The sequence below is a fragment of the Homo sapiens genome, chromosome 10, assembly GCF_000001405.40.
Source record: "Homo sapiens chromosome 10, GRCh38.p14 Primary Assembly".
Taxonomy (NCBI): Eukaryota; Metazoa; Chordata; class Mammalia; order Primates; family Hominidae; genus Homo; species Homo sapiens.
The window spans coordinates 72,235,861-72,263,742 of record NC_000010.11 but is presented as its reverse complement, the minus strand read 5'-3'; the positions used below and the strand labels follow the sequence as shown (position 1 = coordinate 72,263,742).

At 49.3% G+C, this 27,882-nt stretch overlaps 15 annotated features.

Annotated features, from left to right (window-relative positions):
- Nucleotides 2,271-2,380: an enhancer, noted in NCBI's record as "active region_3535". NCBI's record gives its function as "activates an Ori minimal core promoter by ATAC-STARR-seq in GM12878 lymphoblastoid cells {active_cell/tissue: GM12878}" and the evidence as "EXISTENCE:reporter gene assay evidence [ECO:0000049][PMID:35858748]".
- Nucleotides 2,401-2,540: an enhancer, noted in NCBI's record as "active region_3534". NCBI's record gives its function as "activates an Ori minimal core promoter by ATAC-STARR-seq in GM12878 lymphoblastoid cells {active_cell/tissue: GM12878}" and the evidence as "EXISTENCE:reporter gene assay evidence [ECO:0000049][PMID:35858748]".
- Nucleotides 2,711-2,920: a silencer, noted in NCBI's record as "silent region_2470". NCBI's record gives its function as "represses an Ori minimal core promoter by ATAC-STARR-seq in GM12878 lymphoblastoid cells {active_cell/tissue: GM12878}" and the evidence as "EXISTENCE:reporter gene assay evidence [ECO:0000049][PMID:35858748]".
- Nucleotides 2,711-3,478: a biological region, named in NCBI's record as "NANOG-H3K27ac-H3K4me1 hESC enhancer GRCh37_chr10:74020023-74020666".
- Nucleotides 2,835-3,478: an enhancer, noted in NCBI's record as "NANOG-H3K27ac-H3K4me1 hESC enhancer chr10:74020023-74020666 (GRCh37/hg19 assembly coordinates)". NCBI's record gives its function as "activates a minimal SCP1, AML or CMV promoter by ChIP-STARR-seq in primed H9 embryonic stem cells {active_cell/tissue: H9 hESC(primed)}" and the evidence as "EXISTENCE:reporter gene assay evidence [ECO:0000049][PMID:30033119]".
- Nucleotides 3,591-3,660: an enhancer, noted in NCBI's record as "active region_3533". NCBI's record gives its function as "activates an Ori minimal core promoter by ATAC-STARR-seq in GM12878 lymphoblastoid cells {active_cell/tissue: GM12878}" and the evidence as "EXISTENCE:reporter gene assay evidence [ECO:0000049][PMID:35858748]".
- Nucleotides 3,691-3,910: an enhancer, noted in NCBI's record as "active region_3532". NCBI's record gives its function as "activates an Ori minimal core promoter by ATAC-STARR-seq in GM12878 lymphoblastoid cells {active_cell/tissue: GM12878}" and the evidence as "EXISTENCE:reporter gene assay evidence [ECO:0000049][PMID:35858748]".
- Nucleotides 8,318-8,612: an enhancer, noted in NCBI's record as "tiled region #8691; K562 Activating DNase unmatched - State 5:Enh". NCBI's record gives its function as "activates a minimal TATA promoter and a strong SV40 promoter by Sharpr-MPRA in K562 cells {active_cell/tissue: K562}" and the evidence as "EXISTENCE:reporter gene assay evidence [ECO:0000049][PMID:27701403]".
- Nucleotides 8,318-8,738: a biological region, named in NCBI's record as "Sharpr-MPRA regulatory region 8691".
- Nucleotides 8,499-8,738: an enhancer, noted in NCBI's record as "active region_3531". NCBI's record gives its function as "activates an Ori minimal core promoter by ATAC-STARR-seq in GM12878 lymphoblastoid cells {active_cell/tissue: GM12878}" and the evidence as "EXISTENCE:reporter gene assay evidence [ECO:0000049][PMID:35858748]".
- Nucleotides 14,140-14,706: an enhancer, noted in NCBI's record as "H3K27ac-H3K4me1 hESC enhancer chr10:74008795-74009361 (GRCh37/hg19 assembly coordinates)". NCBI's record gives its function as "activates a minimal SCP1, AML or CMV promoter by ChIP-STARR-seq in naive H9 embryonic stem cells {active_cell/tissue: H9 hESC(naive)}" and the evidence as "EXISTENCE:reporter gene assay evidence [ECO:0000049][PMID:30033119]".
- Nucleotides 14,572-14,671: an enhancer, noted in NCBI's record as "active region_3530". NCBI's record gives its function as "activates an Ori minimal core promoter by ATAC-STARR-seq in GM12878 lymphoblastoid cells {active_cell/tissue: GM12878}" and the evidence as "EXISTENCE:reporter gene assay evidence [ECO:0000049][PMID:35858748]".
- Nucleotides 14,707-15,275: an enhancer, noted in NCBI's record as "H3K27ac-H3K4me1 hESC enhancer chr10:74008226-74008794 (GRCh37/hg19 assembly coordinates)". NCBI's record gives its function as "activates a minimal SCP1, AML or CMV promoter by ChIP-STARR-seq in naive H9 embryonic stem cells {active_cell/tissue: H9 hESC(naive)}" and the evidence as "EXISTENCE:reporter gene assay evidence [ECO:0000049][PMID:30033119]".
- Nucleotides 15,276-15,843: an enhancer, noted in NCBI's record as "H3K27ac-H3K4me1 hESC enhancer chr10:74007658-74008225 (GRCh37/hg19 assembly coordinates)". NCBI's record gives its function as "activates a minimal SCP1, AML or CMV promoter by ChIP-STARR-seq in naive H9 embryonic stem cells {active_cell/tissue: H9 hESC(naive)}" and the evidence as "EXISTENCE:reporter gene assay evidence [ECO:0000049][PMID:30033119]".
- Nucleotides 18,291-18,370: an enhancer, noted in NCBI's record as "active region_3529". NCBI's record gives its function as "activates an Ori minimal core promoter by ATAC-STARR-seq in GM12878 lymphoblastoid cells {active_cell/tissue: GM12878}" and the evidence as "EXISTENCE:reporter gene assay evidence [ECO:0000049][PMID:35858748]".

The window sequence follows — 27,882 nt, the reverse complement described above, 5'->3', positions numbered from 1 at the left end:
ATCTCAGCTTACTGCAACCTCTGCCTCCCGGCTTCAAGGGATTCACCTGCCTCAGCCTCCCGAGTAGCTGAGATTACAGGAATGCACTACCACGCCCGGTTTATTTTTGTATTTTCAACAGAGACAGGGTTTCACTACGTTGGCCAGGCTGGTCTCAAACTCTTGACCTCAGGTGATCTGCCCCCTTCAGCCTCCCAAAGTGCTGGGATTACAGGCGTGAACCACCGCACCAGCCTCCTCACAAAGATCATTGACCCTTATGGAGCGCTTCAGGATTCTAAAAACACTTGCACAGGCCTGGCACGGTGGCTCACGCCTGTAATCCCAGCACTTTGGGAGGCCAAGGCAGGCGGATCATGAGGTCAGGAGTTTGAGACCAGCCTGGCCAAAATAGTAAAACCCCATCTCTACTAAAAATAGAAAAAGTTAGCCGTGCGTGCTGGCGGGCGCCGGTAATCCCAGCTACTCGGGAGGCTGAGGCAGGAGAATCGCTTGAACCCGGGAGGTAGAGGTTGCAGTGAGCCTAGATCGCGCCACTAGACTCCAGCCTGGGCAACAGTGTGAAATTCCGTCTCAAAAAAACCAAAACAAACAAAAAAACACACTTCCATATTTTTTAGGGCTTTCATAACTTTTTTTTTTTTTAATTTTGAGATGGAGTCTTGTGTTGCCCAGGCTGGACACGATCGTGGCTCACTGCAACCTGTCTCCTGGATTTAAGCGATTCTCCTGCCTCCGCCTCCTAAGTAGCTGGGATTACAGGTGCCCGCCACCATGCCTGGCTAATATTTGTATTTTTAGTAAAGACAGGGTTTCACCATGTTGGCCAGGCTGGTCTTGAACTCCTGACCTCAGGCGATCTGCTCACCTCGGCCTCCCAAAGTGCTGGGATTACAGGTGTGAGGCACTGCACCCAGCCTTATAACTTTTTGTCTTTTTCCACATGTTCTAAAGGATTTTCATAACTTTGTTAATAAAAATAACAACTGGAGGCTGGGCATGGTGGCTCATGCCTGTAATCTCAGCACTTTGGGAGGCCAAGGTGGGCAGATCACTTGAGTCAAGGAGGTCAAGACCAGCCTGGCCAACATGGTGAAATCCCATCTCTACTAAAGAGACAAAAAGTTAGCTGGACATGGTAGAGTGTATCTGTATTCCCAGCTTCTTGGGAGGCTGAGGTGGGAAAATCACTTGAGCCCAGGGGGCTGAGGTTACAGTGAGCTGAGATTGTGCCACTGCACTCCAGCCTGGGTCAAAAAGCAAGACTCTGTCTCAAAAAAAAAAAAAAAAAAAAAAAAGACTTAGGCTGGGCAGTGGCTCACACCTGTAATTCCAGCACATGATTTGGGAAGCTGAGGCGAGTGGATCACTTGAGGCCAGGAGTTTGAGACCAGCATGGCCAACATAGTGAAACCCTGTCTCTACTAAAAATACAAAATTTACCCAGGTTTGGTGGCATGCACCTGTAATCCCAGCTACCTGGGAGGCTGAGGCAGGAGAATCACTTGAACCCGGGAAGCGGAGGTTGCGGTGAGCCAAGATCGTTCCACTGCACTCCAGCCTGGGTGATAGAGTGAGACGCTATCTCAAACAAAAACGAAACAAACCAACAAAACAAAAATAAAGGCCTGGTATGGTGGCTCACACCTGTAATCCCAGCATAATACTGGCCTGGTACACTGGCTCACACCTGTAATCCCAGCATTTGGGAGGTGGAGATGGGAGGATTGCTTGAATCCAGGAGTTCAAACCAGCCTGGGGCAAGTTGTGAGAACCCCATCTCTACTAAAAATTAAAAAACAACAACTAATATATGTGTGTAGAGTTTGTAGGCAGGACAGACCTCATCAATGTCACTGCACAGGTGAGAAAACTGAGATTCAGATAGGTGCAGTGAGTCACATAGTGTCAGCAAGGCTGGAGCCAGGACTCTACATCTAGGCTCATTTCCTGATCCCAGGCAACCCATACTCTTAGTTGTAAACTAAAAGGGACTGTAAATGCTGGAAAGCGGGGGGTCAATGTTGTAGGGTGGGGTGTAGAACAGTTGGAGTGATCTTCTGTTATCGCTAAGAATATGTTGACCCAAGAGACTTTCTCTAGGTCAGCCCTTGTTTTATCTGATCAGGTTCTTCCTCCCCCTGCAGAATTCAGCAGCACCTAGCAGTGCTGACTCAAATGGCAAGTCCGACTGACACTCGAGGGGTTTCCCTTTAGCTGCCACCCTCAATCCCAGAAGTGACAGTGATTCTGTTACCATATCCCCCTCTGGGATCCTCCCCCTGGGAGCTCTGGGGTCCCATAGGAAGGCCACTCTGGGAATTGCTGCCTGTGAAGAGGGGCCCTTCCCCACCCCAGTTGTCCCGTACGTAATCCACAAAGGGCCAGACGCTGACATAGGCACCCAGGAGCCACTGCTGAATTTTTTATACTTAAAAGTAGCCGCACAGAAACACAAAAACTTTCAGACTCTGCTCCGGGAACTGGTGCACGCAAGAGCTTAACTGATTTCGCCGCGGTCTGCGGTGGCTTGTCTGGGGCCAGCGGGATGGGGGAAGGGAAGACCCCCCACTCAGCTCGCTCTCGCCTCCCTCCACAGCGGAGGTGCGACCTCAAGGGAGCGCTGCCGCCGAGGTGACAGATGCAGAGCAGCTGACTGGGGGAAGGGTCCAATCTCCGTCGACCCCCTACTAGGGGAAGCGGGGGACGTGACTTGGAGAACGTGCGACTGAGGAACGGGAGGGGGATGGAGGGAGAGGGGGAACGGGGAGGAGGGCGGGGCTGGCCCTGGCCCCGCCCACCCTCGGGAGGAAGGAGGCTCCTCCCACTGCCCGGGAGGAGGGCAGCCAGGCCACAGAGATGCTGAGCTCAGCATTTGGGGCCCCGGCGGCTGGGTGGGGGCAGGGCGCAGGGTTGGCGCCTTTCTGGTGAGAGCCCTAGAGAGGAGAGAGGGGGAGGGAGGGAGAGGCCGAGGAGGCCCTCACACCCCTGAGGCTGTAACTCTTCTCCAACCGGGTGGGTCGTGCTAACAAAGCGGTCTCTGTTGGGGAGGGGAAGGCTTCCTGGGTGTGCGCAAACCCTAAGGGATGGGGGAAAGAATGTCTGTGACTCACTACCCTAAACCCTGACTTAGCCCCGAGAACTCACGTCAGAGAGGCCAAGCCTTTGTGCCCTCTGACCCCAGGATTGATTTGGTGGAGGGAGCGCAGGGCTGCCCCTGTAGGGCTGCAGTCCCTACTGCCCTGGCTACCCCAGCTAGTGCAGGAAGGAGTTGTATTTAAGGCAACCTTGAAAAGTGCAGGGGGCATCAGCTTGGGAAGGGAAGCAAGGAAAACCTTTCTACCCACTTGGCACAAAGGGCTACCCAGGCCAGGCGGGTGGGTGGCTATTTTTGAGCTGACCTACATACCTATTTGCCTCTTTATCTTTTTATTATCACACATGGTTATTATGGGAACTTTTCTTCAGCACTTAGTGCAGCTGATGCGTTCGATGAGGGCTGCACAATAAGGTGTGTTGCCTCCCTCGCCAGGAAGTTTTTAAGAGTGTCTGGGCCAGGAAAGAAGGTCATCAGTAGGCCTGCAGCAGCTTCCCCAAGCTCTTGCCACATGGAACAGGATCCTGACCCTGACACCCCCATCCAGAGCTGGTCGCCCTGGAGGCAGATGATGACATTCAGATTTGACAACAGGATCACTGGGTTTTGCTGGGGCCTGAAGCCCCTCAGCCTCTGAGCCTTGTTGCTTGCAGAGGCTGACTCCATAGTCCTACAGCCCCACACTATGGCTTTCCTGCATAGATGGAGCAAGGGATGCTCATCTGCATTTGAGTTGTGGGCAGAACTGGTTTGGGATTTACTGCTCTGATTTTTCTTAAGTAGAAGCAAGGAGAGCCTGGAACTTTCTGTTTATTTTACCTCTGTTCAGCCTCACTAGGACCTCCCTCTCCAAACCTTTTAATAGCTCCCCATTGCCTTTAGAGCCAGTCTGGCTGCTTAGTTCAGCCTCGCAAGCCTCGGGGGCAGGCTCTAGATTCATTTCCCACCCACAGCCCAGAAGGGGAAAAACACATATGGTTCTAATTATATCTGAAACGCTCTTAAATTTTCCATAAAGTACAGTATGCATGGCTTTGTGTATACAACTTTGCATAGTAATATGTATGTAGATATGCAAAATATATACAGCCACATAAGGTGGATCATAAAGAGAACATCAACAAAGGATAAGCATATAATTTACAGTATTTTAATCATGCTAAAGACAGACACATAGACCTGGAAGTGAGACTGGCAGAGGTCACAGCAGATTTTTCTCTTCTCTCATCTGGTGCTCCCACTGGGATAGGAAATCTTTGGCCCTGAGAAAAACGGATGCCTGTACTCCTTAACATGCTCTTTTAAAAAAAAAAAAAAAATTAATTTATTTTTTTGAGGCAGGGTCTTGCTCTGTCCCCCAAGCTGGAGTGCAGTAGTGTGATCTCAGCTCACTGCAACCTCTACCTCCTGGGTTCAAGTGATTCTCCTGTCCCAGCCTCCAAAGTAGCTGGGATTACAGGTGTGTGCCACCCACCTGGCTAATTTTTGTATTTTTAGTAGAGATGGGTTTCACCATGTTGGCCAGGCTGGTCTCAAACTCCTGGCCTCAAGTGATCTGTCTGCCTCAGTCTGCCAAAGTGCTGGGATTGCAGGCATGAGCCACCGTGCCCAGCCATAATTTACCTTTTCCAGATTCCCTGTGCCCGGTGAGATGCCATTTCTGTGGGGTCCCAAGTGGCTTCCCTTCCAGCTTGCTCCTACCTTCACACCAATTACTCTTCTTCAATGCACTTCCCACCTTATAGCTACAGCTCACACTCCCAGCTTGTGTTAAGCTCCAGGTCCTTTGAGAAGCCCTCCTTGAACAGGTTTGGGAACCCTCTTGTTCCCCTGCTGGAGAATTCAGGGTAGCGAGTCCAGGCCAGGCCTGGTGCCTTGGAAGCCTGTGCTCAATCACACAGCTGTGCATGAGTATGAGTTGCTCCCTTCTCCTTCAATAGCTTTTTTTTAGATGGAATCAAACTTTGTCGCCTAGGCTGGAGTGCAGTGGTGCAATCTTGACTTACTGCAGCATCCGCCTCCTGGGTTCAAGTGATTCTTGGTCCTCAACCTCCTGAGTAGCTGGGATTACAGGCACCCGCCACCATGCCCAGCTAATTTTTGTATTTTTAGTAGAGATGGGGTTTCACCATGTTGGCCAGGCTGGTTTCGAACTCCTGACCTCAGGTCATTTGCCCACCTTGGCTTCCCAAAGTGCTGGGATTACAGGCGTGAGCCACCGTGCCCAGCCCAGTAGCTAATATTGAAAGGATCCTATCCTGGGTCTGATGCTCCATCAGATTGTAAACTCTTTCAGAGGTCATATATTTCAAATCTTTTTTTTTTTTTTTTTTTTTTTTTAGACGGAGTTTCGCTCTTGATGCTGAGGTTGAAGTGCAGTGGCTGGATCTCGGCTCACTGCAAACTCCACCTCCTGGGTTCAAACGATTCTCCTGCCTCAGCCTCCGGAGTAGCTGGGATTACAGGCACACACCACCACGCCCAGCTAATTTTTTTGTATTTTTAGTAGAGATAGGGTTTCACCATGCTGGCCAGGCTGGTCTTGAACTCCTGATGTCAGATGATCTGCCTGCCTCAGCCTCCCAAAGTGCTGGGATTACAGGTGTGAGCCACCAAGCCTGGCACATATTTTAAATCTTAAAACAAAAAAAAAATTGTTTTTATTTTTAAAATGTTTGGTAGAGACAGGGTCTCACTATGCTGACCAGGCTGGTCTTGAACTCCTGGTCTCAAGCAATCCTCTTGCCTTGGCCTCCCAATATATGTATTGTAAGTCTTTTTTTTTTTTTTTTTTTGAGATGGAGTCTCACTCTATCACCGAGGCTTGAGTGTAGTGGCACAATCTTGACTCACCGCAACTTCCACCTCCCGGGTTCAAGTGATTCTCCTGTCTCAGCATCCCGAGTAGCTGGAATTACAGGCACGTGCCACCATGCCCATCTAATTTTTGTATTTTTAGTAGAGACAGGGGTTTCACCATGTTGGCCAAGCTGGTCTCAAGCTCCTGGTCCCTAATAATCCAACTACCTCAGCCTCCCAAAGTGCTGGGATTACAGTCATGAGCCACCGCACCCAGCTGTCTTATATAAATCTTTAAATACCCTCTGCCACCACCACTATAATTCCCCCCAACACACCCACACACACCCCTGTCCCAGTGTTGGGATATATACAGTATATACTCAACAAGTGTTTGACCCAGAATTGAATGGAACTGGAGCCCACATGTGACTCAAGGTCAGTGTGGAATCAGCAAGAAATCTCCCTGACCCCTCCCAGGCGGTGGGGAACTCTACTCCCTCTGAACTCAGCCAGCACTTATTATTGTCACAGAAAGTTAAAACTGAAAGGGGGATTCCCCTTCTTGTACATTTGAGGAGAATAAAGGGGAAGTGTCCAGAATCTGGTTCCAGTGTGGGAACCAGATCCCACAGTCTGCTGGTATCTCTCCACTGCAGCTTGTTACCTCTTCAGAGGGGGCTTCCCCGGTTGCCTGCAATCCCTTCTTCTCTCCTGCTGTTTCCTTTCAAACCACTAATTCCCTTTGTAATCATTCATTCATCTATCTCTGTGGATGTCCAATGCCTGACTTTCCCAATACACTGCAAGCTCTAAGAGGCCAGGGTTTGTATCTATTTTGTCCTGGATCTCCTGGTGCCCTGCACAAAAAGCCCAGCCCACAGAGTTTCCAATAATAATATATGAAAAAAAAAAAAAAGAATGAGGCCAGGCGTGGTGGCTCACACCTGTAATCCCAGCACTTTGGGAGGCAGAGGTGGGTGAATCACCTGAGGTCAGGAGTTCAAGACCAGCCTGGCCAACATGGCAAAACCCTGTCTCTACTAAAAAAATACAAAAATTATCTGGGCGTGGTGGTGCACACCTGTAATCCCAGTTACTTGGGAGGCTGAGGCAGGAGAATCGCTTCAACCTGGGAGGCAGAGGTTGCGGTGAGCCAAGATCGTTCCACTGCACTCCAGCCTGGGTGAGAGAGTGAGACTGTGTCTCAAAAAAAAAAAAAAAAAAAAAAGAATGAGTATCCGTATGGCCTGCGAACCTCCATACATTTCCCCAGGGCAGTGCTGAGACTGGCTCAGAAAGTGCTGAGTTGACGTGTCTGGAGAGTTCCTTGCCAGGAGCTCCAAGGCAACACCTGGTCTTGAGCAGCTTAAGGTATATGGGGGCAATAGACACCTAGTGAATAACCCTACCACCAGGAAGAGGTTTATACTGGGGATGACAAATCAGATTGGGGATTGGAATCTAGCAGTGGTGTGGAGGGCAGATTGGAGGTTGGAGACCTAAGGCAGGGAAACAATTAGGTCATGATTGCAAAAACTGAAAACCACCTAAGTGTCTCTGGTAGGAAAACAGTTAAATAAATTACAGTACATCCCAATCATGGGAAATTATGTGGGTGTTAAAAAGAGGGAGGTAGATTTTGGAAAGATGTCCAAGATCTGCTGTGAGGTGACAGGAACAGGTTGCAGAACAATTTGTACAGTATAATCCCAGGCTGAGGGGAGACAAAAGAGGACACTCCTCTGCAGATACACACTTTTAAACATGCTGAGAAAACATCTAGAAGGATGCTGGAGAAGCTGTTGAAGAGGGATAAAAAAGTTTTTTCTTTTTCTTTTTTTTCTTTTTTTTAAGACAGAGAGAGTCTCACTCTGTTGCCCAGGTTGGAGTGCAGTGGCGTGATCTCGGCTCACTGCAACCTCTGCCTCCTGGGTTCAAGCGATTCACCTGCCTCAGTCTCCCAAGTAGCTGGAATTACAGGCTTGTGCCACCACACCCGGCTAATTTTTGTATTTTTAGTAGAGATGGGGTTTTGCCATGTTGGCTAGGCTAGTCTCGAACCCCTGACCTCAGGTGATCTGCCCACCTCAGCCTCCCCAAGTGCTAGGATTATGGGCGTGAGACACCGTGCCCAGCCTACTTTTTCTTTCTACACCTTTTACACTGGTAGATTTTTACCATGAGCTTATATTCTTTTCACAAGAATTTTTTTTTTGCTATGGCAGGATTGGGGGTGATGGGTAAGGAGGTGGGGTGGGGGCTGGACAACTGAGACCCAGTGAGCAGTGCCAGGGAGGGAGGCCTATTGACAGATGGACAGGACTGGAACCAGGGAGGAGGCTACAGGGCCATGGCACCTGGGGGGTGGACCGGGGGAAGCACAGTGCCGTGTAGGGGGCCTCACTCAAGGTGATTGATCTCCACAGTGCCAGTGACCCTAGGCAAGGGACAACAAGCCCATGGCCAGGAAACCCTGAATTTGGGGAACAAGGGCAAGGAAAGGAAGTAGGTCGAACTTTAGGACCCTACGGATTCCTTGGCCGTTAGCACCATCCTTCGGGTACAGACCGTTCTGGCTGCAGCAGGGAAACAAACAGATGAAGGAGGGGCCAAACCCCAGCCTCCGCGGGAGGAGGTCGGCTTGCTACCAGCCCTGGTGTTCCTGGGAGCGTGCCCTGGTTCTCTGCTGGCTCTTTTGGGCTGCCCGCTAGCAGGCCAGGCTAACTTCCAGGCCTGGGGTGAGAGGCCAGGGCATCTGGCCCCTTCTGGAGGCCAAGCCCCTTCCCAGGACCCAGAGCAGAGGAAGCTAAAACAATGCTGTTCATGGAGAGATTGCAGGGGAGAGAGAGCTGGGTGGGGGCGGAGAAGGTTCTTGGCTCTTAGAAGCCAGTGAAAGCCTGCAGAAGGTCAAAGGTAGAGGAGTGCTCTGTGATTCTGAGACGGCACCTCATTTATCTCATAAACACTTGCTCTGAGCCCAAGTCCAGTGGTAATGCCCCTATGCAAAGCTGGATAAGTCGCTCAGAGGGACTCTGCCTGGGTCTTGTCTCCAGGGCCTCTCTGCAAAAGCCCCTGTGTGCCAGGAGCAGCTGAGGCCTTTTCACAGGTGTCTATTTATTATACACTAGAACCTTCTAGAAGAGGTATTCTGGTTTTTTTTTTTTTTTTTGACAGTCTTGCTCTGTCACCCACGCTGAAGTGCAGTGGCATGATCATAGCTCACTGCAGCCTCAAGCTCCTGGACTGAAGTGATCCTTTGCCTCAGCCTCCTGAGTAGCTGCGACTACAGGCATGTGCCACCATGCCTAGCTAAATTTTAAAATTTTTCTTTTGTACAGATGGGGTCTCTCTATGTTGACCAGGCTGGTTTTGAACTCCTCCTGCCTTGGTCTCCCAAACAGTTGGGATTACAGGCATGAGCCTCAATGCCTGGGCTAAAGGCGGTGTTTTTTTTTTTTTTGTTTTGTTTTTTTACAAAGCAAGAAACTGAGGCTGGTGCCTTGCGCATGATCACATCGTTAGGAAGTGATAATACTGGGATTCGAGGCCGGGTGCGGTGGCTCATGCCTGTAATTGCAGCACTTTGGGAGGCCAAGGCGGGCAGATCAACTGAGGTCAGGAGTTCGAGACCAGCCTGGCCAACATGGTGAAACCCTGTTTCTGCTAAAAATACTAAACCCTGTCTCTACTAAAAAAATACAAAAATTAGCTGGACATGGTGGCACACGCCTGTAATCCCAGCTACTTGAGAGGCTGAGGCAGGGAAATCGCTTGAACCCGGGAGACAGAGGTTGCAGTGAGCCAAATTTGCACCACTGCACTCCAACCTGGGTGACAAGAGTGAAACGCTATCTCAAAAACAAAACAAAACAAACGAACAAAAAAAACTGGGATTCGAGCCTGGGTGTGCCTATGTCCCGCTTATAATTTGGTTGCTTGGAGCTCAGAACACATTCTCCCATAGAAATTATGCTGTAAGTGGTGGTTTGGCTGCCATAATGGCCTAGCTCACCCAGGGTATAGCCGGAATTAATTCTATGTTTCAGTACGGTTGTGGATGAACCAGGCTTCTGCGGACTAGCCTGGAAACCCACGAGAGAGGGAAAATGTGTTGAGGGTTTGCCCAGCTGGGAACTCTTGCCCTTCCTATAGCCACCTGGCTCAGGGCAAGTAGGCAGTATGGTGGATCAGGGAGCATTTGCCCATTTCAGAGCTCTGCCAGCAGACCATGGTGAGTTTTAGTTGTTTACAGGAGTGGGACAGAACATCTGGCAGGTTTGACTTTGGGGAGACAGAAAGTGCAAAATGAGATATGTGTTAATTTTCAGATTGAAACTCTTAGTCTTTTTCTTTCTTGTACTACCTCTCAACTCCATACAGAGTCATCTTAGATCTTTTTCCTCTAGGATAGGGCACTAAAGGCATGAGCCAGGGTTTACCTTCATGAAACATGGCATCTGCCTTGGAGTGGGTGAGTGACAATAACTGCACAGGGTTAGGAGTGCTGGAGATCAGAGCAGCTGTTGAGAAAAGTAAGGAAGGATCACAGCTCTTATAGTGACTTCAGGGGAAACACTCATTCGTTCAACAAACATTTGCTGTGGGTGTGCTGGGCACTGTGCTGGTTCCTTTCATGGTGCTTCTGTTGCTCAAAGAGTCCTGGGCAGGCATGACTGTGGCTCTCAGATCCAGAATCTTAGCATTGCAAGGAATCTTTTTACAAATGGGAACTGCAGCTGTTCATTAATTCAAAAAAGCTGGAGTATTGGACGTTGTGCTAAATGCCGAGGATCCATGAAGCATGAAAATTGAGATCTAGAGAGAGGTGGGAAGTGATTTGCCCAGGGTCTTAATCCAGGATTCCAGCATCTGGACCAGAAGCTACCTTCTCAACCACACCCATGGCATTCTTGCCTCAGTGTGCCCCAGCCATTTTTGAGGATTCCTTCTGTTTCCCAGGACCGGGGTTTGGGGCCTGGGGAAAGGCCATAAAAAAGCAGTAGATTCCTTTCTATCTGGTAACAACAATGCCTGGGGTCTCCCCTAGAGTGAGGGTTGGAAGATCGTCCTGTTGGCTGGAGTTCAGAAGGCTTAGGAAACTTCTGTCAGTTCTTTCTTTTTTTTTTTTTTTTTTTGAGATGGAGTCTCGGTCTGTCACCCAGGCTGGAGTGCAATGGTGTGATCTCAGCTCACTGCAACCTCCGCCTCCTGGGTTCAAGTGAGTCTCCTGCCTCAGCCTCCCGAATAGCTGGGATTACAGGTGCCCGCCACTACGCCCAGCTAATTTTTGTATTTTTAGTAGATACTGGGTTTCACTATGTTAGTCAGGCTGGTCTCGAACTCCTGACCTCAGGTGATCTGCCTGCCTCGGCCTCCCAAAGTGTTGGGATTATAGGCATGAGCCACCTCACCTGGCCCTGTGAGTTCTTTAAATGAGCCACGTGCTCTCTAAATTCTGGGTCTTCACAAACACTGTTAGTTCTGCCCAAACCGCTTTTCCCAGTCTCCTTCATCTGGCAGATTTATCTCCCTCCCCTTTGGGTCTCAGCTTAAAAATCTGTCTCTTCTTCAAGGAAATGTTCCTGGACCCTCAGCCTTGGATCCCCCTGCTCTGCGGTCACCTATGGTACCTGGCATAAGCCTCCATGCCTGGCCTAAAGGAGGTGTTTATTTTACAAAGCAAGAAACTGAGGCTGGTGCCTTGCCCACGACCACATCGTTAGGAAGTGTTAGGAAGTGTTAAAACTGGGCACGTTGAGCCCAGGAGTTCAATACCAGCCTGGGCAACACAGTGAGACCCTATCTCTATAAAAAAAAAAAATAATAATAATAAGAAAATTGGCTGGGTACGGTGGCTCACGCCTGTAATCCCAACACTTTGGGAGGCTGAGGCGGGCAGATCACAAGGTCCCCTGAGATAATCGTGAGCCCTCAGGACTGCTCCTACTTACTATATGTCTTTGTTTCCACTGGACTGTGATCTCTACGAGGGGCAGAGACTCTGTGTATTTGTTTTTGGCAATTGTGTGCCCATTATCTCAGCCAGGGCTTAGTATACAGTAGGTGTTCATTGTGTAGTTATTGAGTGACCATGAGCTGTAGCTGGGGGAAAGGCCATCTAGTGAGTGGCTTTAATTCAAGTCATTCAATGACTGTGGATCAAGGACTCCACACACACAAGGCAAAGGTGTGACTGGACGGGATACAAAGATGACTTGGAAAAAGAGATTTGCAATCTGGTAGGGAGGGTATAATCTAGAACTTAGTTCAAAAATTGCAAAGATGGGCTGGGAGCAGTGGCTCATGCCTGTAATCCCAGCACCTTGGGAGGCCAAGGCAGGCAGATCACCTGAGGTCAGGAGTTTGAGACCAGCCTGGCCAACATGGCAAAACCCCATCTCCACTAAAAATACAAAAAAAATTAGCAGGGCGTGATGGCATGCACCTGTAATCCCAGCTACTCGGGAAGCTGAGGCAGGAGAATTGCTTGAACCCGGAAGGCAGAGGTTGTGGTGAGCCAAGATCGCACCACTGCACTCCAGCCTGGGCGACAGAGTGACTCCATCAAAAAAAAAAAAAATTTTTTTTCAAAGATGGCCAGGCACAGTGGCTCACGCATGTAATCCTAGCACTTTGGGAGGCCGAGGTGGGAGGATCACTTGAGCTTAGGAGTTTGAGACCAGCCTGGGCAACATAGTGAGATCTTGTCTTTATTATTAAAAAAAAAAAAAAAACAAAACAAAGAAAGAAACAAACAAAAAAACCCAAAGAATTGCAAAGATCTAACTGGAGAGCCTCCATCCCCCTCCTAAGTCCCCTCTCCTCTGCTGGCCCACTGATCCTTGGCTATGGGACCCAGCATATGCCTCTGAGTTCCAGGACCTTACACAGCACAGAAGAATCCAGAGGCTGATGTGGCTGCTGCATAGAGGCTTATGGCAGCAGATCAGCAGTTGAGGGAGTTCATGCAGAGGGCAGACTCTCCTGGCTCTGAGCAGGCCAGGGCGGGACTCAGGCTCAGGCTCCTCTGGACAGCTCTGGGCCCACCTGCCTGAGCTTTTATCTATTTCAGAGAATCATTAAGAAAGTACCAACCAGGTGTGGTGGCTCACACCTTGTAATCCCAGCACTTTGGGAGGCTGAGGTGGGAGGAAGGCTTGAGTCCAGGAGTTCAATACCAGCCTGGGCAACACAGTGAGATCTGTCTCTACAACAATAACAACAACAAAATAAGAGAATTGGCTGCGCATGGTGGCTTATGCCTGTAATCCTAACACTTTGGGAGGCTAAGGCGGGCAGATCACAAGGTGAGGAGTTCGAGACCAGCCTGGCCAATATGGTGAAACCCCCGTCTCTACTAAAAATACAAAAATTAGCCAGGCGTGGTGACGCATGCCTGTAGTCTCACCTACTCGGGAGGCTGAGGCAGAAGAACTGCTTGAGCCCGGGAGGTGGAGGTTGCAGTGAGCCGAGATTGCACCACTGCACTCCAGCCTGGGCGACAGAAAGAGACTCCGTCTCAAAAAAAAAAAAAAAAAAAAAATTAGCGGGGCTTGGTGGTGCAAACCTGTAGTCCCAGCTACTCAGGAGGATGAGGCAGGAGGATCAATTGATCCAGGGAGGTTGAAGCTGCAATGAGCCAAGATCACGCCACTGCACACTCCAGCCTGGGCGACAGAATGAGACCCTGTCTCAAGCAAACAAAAAATAAAAAAGAGAAAGCATCTATTCTCAAAATCACCTGGAGAGAAACTTTGAGAGAAAATGCTCACATTCATTGCAAGAGTTTGAAATAATGCCTCAAAATCAGTTATCCCGAAGTGACATGAGACCTGCATCCAAGAACCTTTAATAAATAGTGGCAGCCAGGCATGGTGGCTCACGCCTGTCATCTCAGCACTTTGGGAGGCTGAGGCAGGTGGATCACCTGAGGTCAGGTGTTCAAGATCAGCCTGGCCAACATGGTGAAACCCTGTCTCTACTAAAAATACAAAAATTAGCCCGGTGTGGTGGTGGGTGCCTATAATCCCAGCTACTCGGGAGGCTAAAGCAGGAGAACTGCTTAAACCCGGGAGGCAGAGGTTGCGGTGAGCCGAGATCATGCCACTGCACTCCAGCCTGGGCAACAAGAGCAAAACTCCATTTCAAAAATAAATAAATAAATAAATAAATAAATAAATAAATAAATAAATAAATAAATAAATACTGGCATAGGCCAGGCACATAGTGGCTTATGTCTTAATCCCAACATTTTGGGTAGCCGAGGCGGGAGGGTTGCTTGAGCCCAGGAGTTCGAGACCAGCCTGGGCAACATAATGAGACCCTGTCTCTACAAAAAATACAAAAATGAGCCAGGGGTGGTGGTGCGTGCCTGTAGTCCCAGCTGCTCAGGAGGCTGAGGTTCACTTGAGGCCCGGAGTTGGAAGCTGCAGTGAGCTATGAACGCACCACTGCATTCCAACCTGGGTGGAAGTGAAACCCCCCTTTCTAAAATAAATAAATAAAAATAAATACTGATGTTGGTTGTTCCTCTCAGTTTCCCTGAACCTCAGTTTTGTCATCTGAAGGATGTTTTGTTATGAGGGATATGAAACGCGACTGTGTGATGGCACCCGGCACGCTGAAGATGCTTTGGAAATGCGGGATGGGTCAGAATCTTAAGTGCTCGGAGTCTGGTGGCCGGGGGCCTCACCCAGCAGGAGGACACAATGGAGACAGCCTCCCTGGGTCATACAGTGGGCTGCACGCAGGTGCAGGCAGGGGAGCCAGGCCTGAGGCTAGGTAAGAGGCAGCACTAGGACCCAGGGGCCACGTATGCAGCAGGCTCCGCCGGATAAGTTCTCAGCCAGAACACAATGTTCTCAGTGTACCCACAGGAAACCCTGAAGAAGAGAACTGCACATGGCCTCTGCTGGGTGTGTTCTGGTCACAGCCTTTTATTCTTTTTCCTAACCTCAGTCCCCACTTTCACATCCTGTAACCTGCATTGCTGCCCCACCCCACCCTGCTGGGCTGGTCCCAGGTCCCAGGAGAGCAACCAATGCAGGAAGTCCAAGGCCTGGCCAGGTTTTACCATTTTCAAATAAGACCCGTTTGCCTCTAACCCTGGTTTCCTGAATCGCAACCCTTTGTGATGGAAACTTGCTTTTTACAGTGCAGAAGGCAGACACTGGGGACAAAGTTGTATTTCTGCCATGGCAAGGATCTTGGCCCACAGGCAAAGGAAACAGCTGATGCCTCATACCACCACCTCCCTTCCTCTCTGAAGGCCGGGTCCCACCTGGGACAGGGGAGGGCCTCCGTCGCTGCTGCCTGAATCAGAGGGAACTTGGAGCTGCCTGGGGGATCAGCGCCAAGTTTGGAGCAGAACATCCTATGATGTGGTTCCTAGTTTTTATTTCCACGAATGCTATAATATGTTGTCCCACCGAGCTATTTTTATTGAATGGAAAAAAAAAAAAAAGCAAACCTCTGCAAAACCAGCAGTCCTCTGTTAGACGGAAGGACAAGGTGAACTTTTCACTTCCTTCCCTGCAGCCTATCAACTCAGTCCGTGGTTTGGTGTCACCCACACTCTGTGCTATATTCAATCTCAATTTTTGCCTCCTTGTTTTTGAAGCTGCAGGAGCAAGGCTCTAAACCTATGTTTCTCCTGCTAGTTGCATGAGGCTTTTAGAAGTGCCTTTTTGGTGAATTCTCACAACAGCAAAATAGAGATCTATCAGCTGCTTGCCAGCTGCAGGCAAAGGTGGGTCTGAAGAGAGTGAACAAGGAGGGGAACCTTGAGAAACCCAGCACAATCCCAGCCAACTTCTGGCAAACTGCACTGTTGGGAGCTCCGCACAGGCTGCATTCCTGCCACGTTAATGAGAGGCCTGGCCATTGAAAATAAGACCCAAGCCGGAGGGGGTGGCTCATGCCTGTAATCCCAGCACTTTGGGAGGCTGAGGCAGACGGAGGACCTGATGTCGGGAGTTTGAGACCAGCCTGACCAACATAGAGAAACCCCATCTCTACTAAAAAAATGCAAAAATTAGCTGGGCATGGTGGTGCATGCCCGTAATCCCAGCTACTCGGGAGGCTGAGGCAGGAAAATCGCTTGAACCCGGGAGGCGGAGGTTGCAGTGAGCCGAGATCACACCACTGCCCTCCAGCCTGGGCAAGAAGAGTGAAACTCCGTCTCAAAGAAAATAAGACCCAGTGCCTCTATGAAGCTCCATGAATAAGGCTCCTTCTACCCTGGCATTGCAGAGTCCCTTTCCAGATGTTGGTTGGTAAAAGGGTTTTCATGTGTCCTAGGCCTGTAGATTCAACTGGGTGCTTCCTAGACTGGCCCAAGCTCAGGGATTCCCTTCTTGGAGAAGAGGTTTCCAAAAGCAGGCAATACTGCTACTCCTGGGGAAGTCTGCTGAAGGCTGGGGGCCCCAAAAGACCTGTGTTCCGATCTTGGTTTTGTCAACTTGATGGAGCCTGTGCAAATCACTTTCCCACTCAAATATTTTCATAACTTTGTCAATAAAAATAACAGCTGGAGGCTGAGCACGGTGGCTCACACCTGTAATCTCAGCATTTTGGTAGACTGAGGAGGGGGGATTACTTGAGGTCAGGAGTTCGAGACCAGTCTGGCCAACATGGTGAAACCCCATCTCTACTAACAACACAAAAATTAGCCAGGTGTGGTGACACATACCTGTAATCCCAGCTACTTGGGAGGCTGAGGCAGGAGAATTACTTGAACTTGGGAGGCAGAGGTTGCAGTGGGCTGAGGTAACGCCCCTGGACTCCAGCCTGGGCGACAGAGCGAGACTCCATCTCAAAAAATAAATAGCTGGGCGCAGTGGCTCACGCCTGTAATCCCAGCACTTTGGGAGGCCGAGGCGAGTGGATCACCTGAGGTTGGGAGTTGGAGCCCAGCCTGACCAACATGGTGAAACCCTGTCTCTACTAAAAATACAAAATTAGCTGGGCATGTTGGTGCATGCCTGTAATCCTAGCTACTCAGGAGGCTGAGGCAGGAGAATCACTTGAACCCAGGAGGTGGAGGTTGCGGTGAGCCAAGATTGCACCATTGCACTCAGCCTGGGCAACAAGAGCGAGACTCCATCTCAAAAAATAAATAAATAAATAAATAAAAATAAATAAATAAAATAAAGAGAGGGCTGGGTTAGAGATTGTTGTTGCACGTTGAATTGTGTTGTCCCCACTCCAATTTGTATTTTGAAGTCCTAACCCCAGTATCTCAGAATGTGACCTTATTTGGAGATGGGTCTTGAAAGAGGTCATCAAGCTGAAATGAGATCAGTAGGGTAGGCCCTAACCCAGTGGGACTGGTGTCCTTATAAAAAGGGGACATTTGGACAGAGACATGCATAGAGGAAAGACTAAGTAAAGAGACATTGGGAGAAGATGGCCAAAGAGACAAGCCTGGAACAGACTTTTTCCTTCACAGCCCTCAGAAGAAACCAATCTTGCCAGCAGCTTGATCTTGGACTTCTAGCTTCCAGAACTGCAAGACAATAAGCTTCTGTTGTTTAAGCCACTCAGTCTGTGGTATTTTGTTATGGCAGCCCTGTCAAATGAATATAATAGCCAAGGACCCTGTAGTCTTAGGCTGTAGGATTTTCTCCTGCCATCCCTGCCATAACTTGGTGGCTTCCTCCCATCCCACATGGTCTTTTCGTAAATGACATCGTGCGTGGGGAGTGCTTGGCACAATGCCCCACATATAGTAACCCTTCACTCACCATGTGTTAACCATGATGAATGTTCCCAGGGTTCCCAGTGCCTGGGTGCTACTTCTACCTACCCTGAGACACTGGGTACAGAATGAGAGGTGTGAATTCTGAGCCCAGGCCCTCCTGATCACTCCTACCTTTGTTATTGAAGACTTTCCATCCCCCTCAGCAGCTTCCAATTAGCCTCCTTCTAGGAGCCTACCTTTTTGTTTTGAGACGGAGTCTCACTCTGTCGCCCAGGCTGGAGTGCAGTGGTGTGATCTCAGCTCACTGCAACATCTGCTTCCTGGGTTCAAGCGATTCTTGTGCCTTAGACTCCTGAGTAGCTGGGACTATAGGCGCGTGCCACTATGCCCGTCTAATTTTTGTATTTTTAGTAGAAGCAGCCTTTCTTTTTTTTTCCTTTTTTTTTTTTTGAGACAGAGTCTCGCTCTGTCGCCCAGGCTGGAGTGCAATGGCGTGATCTCAGCTCACTGCAACCTCCGCCTCCCGGGTTCAAGCAATTCTCTGCCTCAGCCTCCCCAGTAGCTGGGATTACAGGCACCCACGACCACGCCCAGATAATTTTTTTGTATTTTTAGTAGAGACGGGGTTTCACCATATTGGCCAGGCTGGTCTTGAACTTCTGACCTCGTGATCTACCAGCCTCAGCCTCCCAAAGTGCTGGGTGTGAGCCACCGCACCCAGCAGAGGCAGGGTTTCACCATGTTGACCAGGCTGGTCTTGAACTTCTGACCTCAAGTGATCTGCCCGCCTCAGCCTCCCAAAGCGCTGGGATTATACACCTGGCCTGGCCTAACTCTTTTAAGTGGAAAGTGCACTGTGGCCACAGAGTCAGCAGGGTAGAAAAAGAGACTGCAATAACTCAGAATGGGAGATTGCTTATCTGCAAGAAATTCCCCTTTGCAGTTGGAGGAGGAGTTGATCCCCAGGGTCAAGTGAAGCTGCAGACTTTTGGGACTCAGCCTCTGTTTTCCTATTTGCCTAATGAGGACACTCCTTGGCTGGCAGGGTACCAGATAAGGCTTAACTACAGGTGGTGTCAGGGCCCTGTGCTTTCAGATAGCAAGGCTGCCTTTCTCCTTGATCCTTCATTCTCCTCTTCCAGAATCTTTTCTAGCCCTCGGGATGGATACCTCTGTGTTGAGAGATGCCTTGGGGACAATGTTCTGCCTTCTTCCCGGCTCCTGAGTCAGGTTTCTGGAGGCCATGGAGTCTTATACTCCAGCTGTGGTCTTGGGCTGCTCCTGAGAGTCTGATTTTCCTTTTCATTATCAGGAGTGCAGGCAAAAAGCATTCTCTAGCCTTGAGCATTGGAGCAGGATTACAGAATGAGCCCTGAGTCCTTTCTGGGGAATGACATTGGCCTGGGATGGCAAAGTCCTAGGTTGTCCTCCGATCATTGTGTGTTTATTTTGAAAGCTAAGTCACTCTGACTTTGTAAGATATTACAGATTGACTCTATTTTGGAGACTGCAGAAAGTTAAGTGGGTAGAGTATGACTTGAACAGCCCCCCAAACGTAACCTTTCGGTTTGCTAAACAAATGAAATGTCTGTGTTTGTTGGTTTATCTTCAAATATATGTCTGGAGATTTCTGAGAACAGAGAGGGAGAGAAAGAGTGTGGGAGTCTACTTCAGGCTTTCAGGGCCCAGGGCAAAAGGGAGGAGAAGCCATATGGGGGAAAAACATCTTTCCACAATGTCCATATACTTTAAATGTGATACTTCAGGCTGTCTGTTATCCTGGTTTTGGCTCAGAGCCCAGAAGGAAGGCTCCTTCGATAATTCTTTGCGTGTTTAGGACATATGCCTCTCCCTTAAAGTAAATAAATAACTAAAAATCTGTGAATGCTGTCTGCAGTCACAGCAAAAATACTGCTCACCACCTAGTGGTCTGCAAAAATCACATTTGCTGCATTATACCAGCCGATGGGTCTAACCCTTCCAGGCCCAGCCGAGCCTGCTTTCTAAGTTATTTATTGTGCAAGTTGGGATTCTTGGCCTCTTAGGCGTCCCTGGCTCTTTCTGAAGAATGTGCTTTGGATGGAAAGTGGAGTGTGGTGAACAAGGCTCAGACAATCTGGTTCTTGCTTCCTTCTCCTGAGACTTCTCACCACACCCCCGTTTACGTGCTGTGCTCCATCCACACCAAATGAGCTGCAGTTCCACATGTGTGTTCCAAGGGACCTGGAGTTCCTGACTTTGCACATGCTGTTCCCTGTGCGTGGAACGCTTCTTTGGCATCTTTCCCTTTGTGTGTGGCGCGCTGTCTCTCATCATCATGTTCAAGAGCAGGCTCGCCTTCTCTAGGAAAGGCTCCTTGTCATCTCCTCGGCATTCCCACTCCCAAGTCCTCTTGGCTTCCATGGCAGCCTGTACAGACCAGGGCCATGGCCTTATCCCACGGTATATATTGCACGCGTCTGTTTACTCCTCTGCCTCTTCTATGGGTCCAAGAGGCTTCCAGATCTGACTACATAACTGTCATGTGCAACCCCCCTTTCCCTTAGACCTACTAGACCCCAGGAATGAAGCCAGGATTCTGCATTTTTTATTTTTTTCAGCTTAATTCTGAAGAATGCCAGGTTTGGAAACTATTGCCCTTTTTTTTTTGAGACGGAGTCTCGCTCTTTCGCCCAGGCTGGAGTGCAACAGTGCGATCTCGGCTCATTACAACCTCCGCGTCCCGGGTTCAAGCAATTCTTCTGCCTCAGCCTCCCAAGTAGCTGGGACGACAAGCGTGCGTCACCATGCCCGGCTAATTTTTGTATTTTTAGTAGAGACGGGGTTTCACCATGTTGGCCAGGCTCATCTTGAACTCCTGACCTCGGGTGATCCATCCACCTCGGCCTCCCAAAGTGCTGGGATTACAGGCGTGAGCCACCGTGCCCGGCCTGCCATACCTTTTTATTTCTCTTTCCCTACACATTGCCTGTGTCATAGTAGACCCTCAATAAGTGGTTGACCCTGTTAGTTTCTCTCTGGGGGCCTCTTTTTGTTTTCACTTCCCTCCCTCTCCAGCCTGGTCCAACAATTTGCTTAGCCCCTTACCCCTACCATGCAAGACTTCAACCACCAACTGCTCATTTTTTCCATTCCTCCTGCCAGGCTGCTGGGAGCTGCTGGTGGACTTCCCCAAAGAGTGGTGCTACTGTAAATGCAAGGCCTCTCACTGCAACAGGCCCCTGAATAGGTTTGGCAAGCCTTCTGACCCTGGGACACAGGCAGTAGGCCAACTTGCCTCTCCTTTACTGAGAAAAGAGAGGCCACTGGATGGGAATGCCCCCTCTTCCTGCTGCCCCTCCTACACATTTACCCACAGCAGCACATCCTGTTCTCCCGCCTCACGCCAGCCAGGCTCTGGCTCTCACCTCCTCCCACTTCCTCAGGGATCCGTCCGTCAATTATCCCCTTTTTCTTTTCTTTCTTTCTTTTTTTTTTTTTGAGACGGAGTTTCACTCTTGTTGCCCAGGCTGGAGTGCAATGGCGCGATCTCAGCTCACCGCAACCTCCGCCTCCCAGGTTCAAGCGATTCTCCTGTCTCAGCCCCCCGAGTATCTGGGATTACAGGCACCTGCCACCATGCCTGGCTAATTTTTGTACTTTTAGTAGAGATGGGGTTTCGCCATGTTGGCCAGGCTGGTCTCGAACTCCTGACCTCAGGTGATCCACCTGCCTCGGCCTCCCAAAGTGCTTGGATTACAGGTGTAAGCCACCGTGCCTGGCCAATTATCCCCTTTTTCTTTGACCTCTCCCATTGTAAAAGAAAAAAACGAGCTCTTTGCTATGCATTCTCCTTTAACTGTCCCCCTCTCAGTCCCTCAGTTTTTGCTTCCCCTTCCCGTTGAACTTCTGGAAAGTGTTGCCTGGATTTAGCCCCACTTTCCCCTCCTCCCCTCACTCTTCCCCCACAGCATTCTGGCTCTGTCTCTGCTACCCAGAGATGGCTGCTCTTAAGACAAGGTCACCAGCCAGGCACGGTGACCTTGTAATCCCAGCACTTTGGGAGGCCAGGGCGGGAGGATTGCTTGAGCTCAGGAGTCTGAGACCAGCCTGGGCAACATGGCAAAACCGTGTCTCTACCAAAAACACAAAATTAGCCAGGTGTGGTGGCATGCATCTGTAGTCTCAGCTAATCAGGAGACTGAGATGGGAGGATTGCTTGAGCCTGGGAGGGCGAGGTTACAGTGAGCTGTGATCTCATGCCACTGCACTCCAACCTGGGTGGCAGAGTGAGATGTTGTCTCCAAAAAAAAAAAAAAAAAAAAGTCACCAACAGTCTCCATGGTAAGATCCCAACAGCAGGCAGGGAGTGGTGGCTCACATCTATAATCCTAGCACTTTGGGAAGCCAAGACGGGTGGATCACCCGAGGTAAGGAGTTAGAGACTAGCCTGGCCAACATGGCGAAACTCCGTCTCTACTAAAAACACAAAAATTAGCTGGGCATGGTGGCGGGCGCCTGTAGTCTCAGCTACTCAGGAGGCTGAAGCAGGAGAATTGCTTGAACCCAGGAGGCGGAGGTTGCAGTAAGCCTTCTCCATCCCTTGTCTCAATTGCTTGGCTGCACCATATACTGCTGTTTGCAGCCTTCTTCTCAAAATGTGCTTTCCCCTTGGTTTCTGTGACGCCGTATTCCTTGTTCCATGTCTCTCTGGGGACTTCCTGCCAGTTGCTTTCCTGGATCTTCCTACTTTGCCTGTCCCTTATATGTCTGCATGCCCTGAGGATCCCTCCCTGGTGTGATTCTCTCCTCACTCCATGGGCTGTCTCCCTGGACAATCTATCCACTCTCCACCTTTGTCTTAATAAACACCTCCAGGCTGCTGAGTCTCAAATCTAACTCCAGCCCAGCTCACTCTCCAGACTATAGACCGGTGGAGTCACTTGCCTTTTGAACAACTCTGTAGCCTGCTTCCCTCTCTGTACCCCATCTCAGTGAATGGTACCACTAGTCCCTCAGCTCCTGACACAAGAAAACTTGGGTGTCCTCTCTGAGTTATCCAAGTTCCACCAGTCACTGAATCCTGTATATGACTTTTTTTTTTTTTTTTTTTTGAGTCTCGCTCTGGCCCAGGCTGGAGTGCAATGGCGCAATCTCGGCTCACTGCAACCTCTGACTCCCGGGTTCAAGCGATTTTCCTGCCTCAGCCTCCTGAATAGCTGGGAGTATAGGTGCCCACCACCATGCCCGGCTAATTTTTCTCTTTTTTGTAGATATGGGGTTTCACCATGTTGGCCAGGCTGGTCTCGAACTTCCTGGTCTCATGTGATTTGCCCCCCTTCATCTCCCAAAGTGCTGGGATTACAGGCATGAGCCATCATGCCAGCCTTTTTTTTTTTTTGAGACAGGGTCTCGCTCTGTCACCCGGGCAATAGCACGATCATAACTTACCGCAGCCTTGAGCTCCTGGGCTCAAGCACTCCTCCTGCCTTGGTCTCTGGAGTAGCTAGAACTACAGGTGTGTGCCAACATGCATGGCTAATCTGTAATTTTTTTTTAGAGGTGGGGGTCTTGCTATGTTGGCCAGGCTGGTCTTAACTCCTGGCCTCAAGCGATCCTCCCACTTGGGCCTCCCAAAGTGTGGGATTACAGGTGTGAGCCACTACCCGCTGCCACTTCTCAAATCAAGTCCATCCTCTGTCTCCACATCTTTTTTTTTTTTTTTTTTTTGAGACAGTCTCACTCTGTCGCCCAGGCTGGAGTGCAATGGCATGATCTTGGCTCACTGCAACCTCTGCCTCCTGGGTTCAAGTGATTCTCCTGCCTCAGCCTCCTGGGTAGCTGGGATTACAGGCACCCACCATCATGCCCGGCTAATTTTTGTATTTTTGTAGAGATGGAGTTTCAACATGTTGGCCAGGCTGGTCTCAAATTCCTGACCTCAGGTGATCCGCCCACCTCGGCCTCCCAAAGTACTGGGATTACAGGCATGAGCCACTGCGCCCAGTCATATCCACACCTTTAATTTGGCCTATAGTCATCTCTTACCTGGACGACCTCAAAGGCTTCCTAAGGAATCTGGCTCTCGCCACCACCAATTCTCCACTATTCCCTCCAAGTAAATTATCTGAAGTATAACCAGATCTTGTCATGCTCCTGCCTCAAGCTCATCAGTGGTTCCCCACTGTCCTCTGGTTGAAGTTCAGATTCCTTAGCAAAGCCCACGAGTCCTACCCTCTGCCTTATTCTTGCCCTTATCACCTATGAATCAATCATAACGAACCACCCGCAGCCCCACAAAAGCAAGATGCCCTTTCCCACCCTTGGGCCTCTGCAAATTGTATTCCCTCCACCTATAAAGTTCTTCCTTCCCACCCCACTTACTTTTTCTTCAGGTCTCAGCCTAAACCTCATCCTTCATTAAAGCCTTCTCTGATGCCTGGCCCAGCTGGATTAGTTGTCTCTGCTATGGGATTGTCCAGCACCTCATGCTTTCCCCATCAGAGCAATTATTACACTTAAAATGACCTTTCTGTTCCTCTTAATATTTATTTATAAACTTCTTGAGGTTGATGACTGGGTCTTGTTTTACAGCATATCCTTAGCATCTAGCAGACACTAGACACACAGTGCTAGCGTCTGCTGAAAGAATGACAGACATTTGGAAAGGAACATCCTCTCTATTGCTGTAACAAATTGTATGTTGTTTCATTACCTGCTCTAAACAGGTTTTTTTTGGTTTTCTTTTGTTTTTTTTTTGAGACGGAGTCTCACTGTCACCCAGGTTGGAATGCAGTGGTGCGGTCTTGGCTCACTGCAACCTCCACCTCCCAGGTTCTAGAGATTCTCCTGCCTCAGCCTCCTGGGTGGTTGGGATTACAGGCGTGTGCCACTGCACCCAGCTATTTTTTTTTTTTTTTTTTCTGAGACAGTGTCTTACTCTGTTGCGCAGGCTGGAGTGCAGTGGCATGATCTTGGCTCACTGCAACCTCTGTTTCCTGGGTTCTAGAGATTCTCCCACCTCAGCCTCCCGAGTAGTTGGGATTACAGGCGTGCACCACCACACCAGCTAATTTTTGTACTTTTACTAGAAATAGGGTTTTGCCATGTTGGCCAGGCTGGTCTCCTGACCTCAGGTGATCTGCCCACCTCGGCCTCCCAAAGTCCTGGGGTTATGGGCGTGAGCCACCGCACCTGGCCCCACCTAATTTTTGTATTTTTATTAGGGATGGGGTTTCACTATGTTGGCTAGGCTGGCCTGGAACTCCTGACCTCAGGTGATCTGCCCGCCTTGGCCTCCCAAAATGCTGGGATTACAGGTGTGAGCCACTGTGCCTGGCCTCTAAACAGCTTATATTATAAAAAGAAACAGGCTGATTTGGGAAAACAACTCCTCCTTGGGAAACTTGACAGACACGAGAAATTAGAGTAACTGTGAGGTGAGATTAGCTCGTGGTTGCTGACATGTGAACCTACCACCAGGCCCAGGGCAGGAGCCCATGAGGACGGCAGGGAACCACCAGTGCCCTTTGCCTTGGCTCATCGCGTAGATGGGATCACATGAGATATGACTGCTTTGGAACGGCTTCCATTTGTTCCACAGCCTCCACCTGTCAGGGTGACGTTATAGGCACTCTGGGCTGAGATCTGGGTGATAGTCTTGGCTCTGCCCATTAACTATCTGAATTACCTCAGGGATTACTCCACTATGGATTTTGCCCTAGAAATAGCTAGTAGTTTCTTTTATTTATTCATTTATTTTGAGACAGAGTCTCACTCTGTCACCCAGGCTTGAGTGCAGTGGCGCGATCTTGGCTTACTGCAATCTCCCTCCCAGGTTCAAGCCATTCTCCTGCCTCAGCTTCCCATGAGGCTGGGATTACAGGTACCACCACACCTGGCTAATTTTTGTATTTTTAGTAGAGACAGGGTTTTCCCATGTTGGCCAGGCTGGTCTTGAACTCCTGACCTCAGGTGATCCTCCAGCCTCACCCTCCCAAAGTGCTGGGATTACAGGCGTGAGCCACGGCGCCTGGTTTTGAAATAGCTAGTAGTTTCTAAAACAAAGGTAACACACAAATTCCTATGTCATTCACTCAGGAGAGACCTATGATATACCTACTACATGCCAAGTAGTATCCTAGGTACTGACGATGCAGCAGTAAACCAGACAGACAACGTCCCAACTTCCTATATGTAAATGAGGGGTGAACTAGATGACCTCTAAGGTCTCTTTCAGCTCTGCAATTCTGAGACCCTCTCTTTGACCAGATGCTAATAAATTTATGCACAGAAGGCTAGTGGCAAAGCATCAGCCTCCTTTGATGCAATCTCCATCCCAAACTTAGCTCTGGGAAAACAGGAAAAGATCTGGTATCACTACAGTCTGCCTGTAGCCCAAGCTTTTAACTCTCCCAAGTACCTGTTATTTAAGACTTTTATCTCTTTTGTGAAATGAAAGGCTTGGTTTTGGTTGAACTTTAGGCAATTAAAAGGCCTGGCAAGATATTTTCGGGAAAGTTAGGTGCTTTGGCAAAAGGACAGGGAAAGGCAAAGCAGCCTCCTCTAAGTGTAGTATTTCTTTTCTTTTCTTTTTTTTTTTGAGACGGAGTTTCGCTCTTATTGCCCAGGCTGGAGTGCAATGGCGCGATCTCAGCTCACCGCAACCTCTGCCTCCCGGGTTCAAGCGATTCTCCTGCCTCAGCCTCCTAAGTAGCTGGGATTAGAGGTGTGCGCCACCATGCCCAGCTAATTTTGTATTTATAGTAGAGATGGGGGTTTCTCTGTGTTGGTCAGGCTGGTCTTGAACTCCCGACCTCAGGTGATCTGGCCGCCTTGGCCTCCCAAAGTGCTGGGCTTACAGGCGTGAGCTACCACACCTGGCCTTAAGTGTAGCATTTCTTACACTTGCCCAAAAGGGCGCCAGCTTCTTGAGCAGCTTCCTCCTCTTCCTCTGGATGATAGGAATCTCCCAGCTCTGGCCCCTTCCCTTTACAGAGGTGAAAGTTCTAGCCTTAAGGCCCAAAGTTTCTACCACTTCTGTATCTGGTACTCTGACTGGGAACAGCAGATTCCAGGACTCCCAGCCATGTTGGGGAAGGGGAGCCACAGGCTGCAGGTAAATGGGCAGATAGAGAGAGATCCTTGGGTCAGGAACTTGATTTAGTTTCCAGACACTGTCATTCCGGTGTGTCACCTATGGGATGGCACTAATCAATAACATGTTTGTGTATCAGTGAAAACTCTGGACTTTAAAGCTGATGCTGGATAATTGTGAAGTCAAAATGGGAAATTTTTGTACGACTGTGTAAAACTAGCTATTTTACTGTTGATATCTCATTACGAGACAAAACAGTTATATAGAATTATGTGTCAGATTGATATGAATAATTTTTTTTTTGAGGCACAGTCTCGCTCTGTCGTCCAGGCTAGAGTGCAATGGCTCGATCTTGGCTCACTGCAACCTCTGCCTCCTGGGTTCAAGTGATTCTCCTGCCTCAGCCTCCCGAGTAGCTGGGATTACAGGCATGTGCCACCATGCCCGGCTAATTTTGTATTTTTAGTGGAGATGGGGTTTTTCCACGTTGGTCAGGCTGGTCTCGAACTCCTGACCTCAGGTGATCCGCCTGCCTCAGCCTCCCAAAGTGCTGAGATTACAGGTGTGAGCCACTGTGTCCTGCCCCATATTGAATCTTAAGAGGGTATGCAGAAGCCAACATACAGCTAATTCCTGTTTCTGAAGAAGCTGTTCCTTCCTCATGCTCAAGATCTCTTTTTGCCAAGCCCTGGGAGGGAGGACGGAAGGTAGCGGAAGCCTTATTTTCTCCAGGTAGTTACTTCCTTTTACCATTTAATCAAAAGTTTTAGGATTTTTCCTAATACAATGTGCTGGGTTGGGTTTGGTGGGATGTGGCATAGTGAATCTAAAAGAAGCTGCTTTGGATTCTGGCTGAGTTGAACTTAAATCCAGATTTGGCCATTGACTTAGCTGTGCAGCCTTGGCAAGTGACACTTGCTCTGAGCTTCAAGTTCCTTTTCTATATTAGGGGGTATTACGTATCTTGCTGTGTTATTCAGAGGATTATAATTCATGCCTGTGAGTGACTGGCACAAGAGAAGACAGATGACAGATCAGCAACTGGGACCATCTTTGAGCCCAAAGCATAGTAACAGGCGTTGTGGACGATGCAACATAATGACTGACAAAAAGGTATAGAGAGGGAGGTACTCTCTTTAAAAAATTGTGAGAGTCTTATTCTTGGTAAGACTAAAATAGCAGCTAAGTGATCAATGAGAAAGGTGC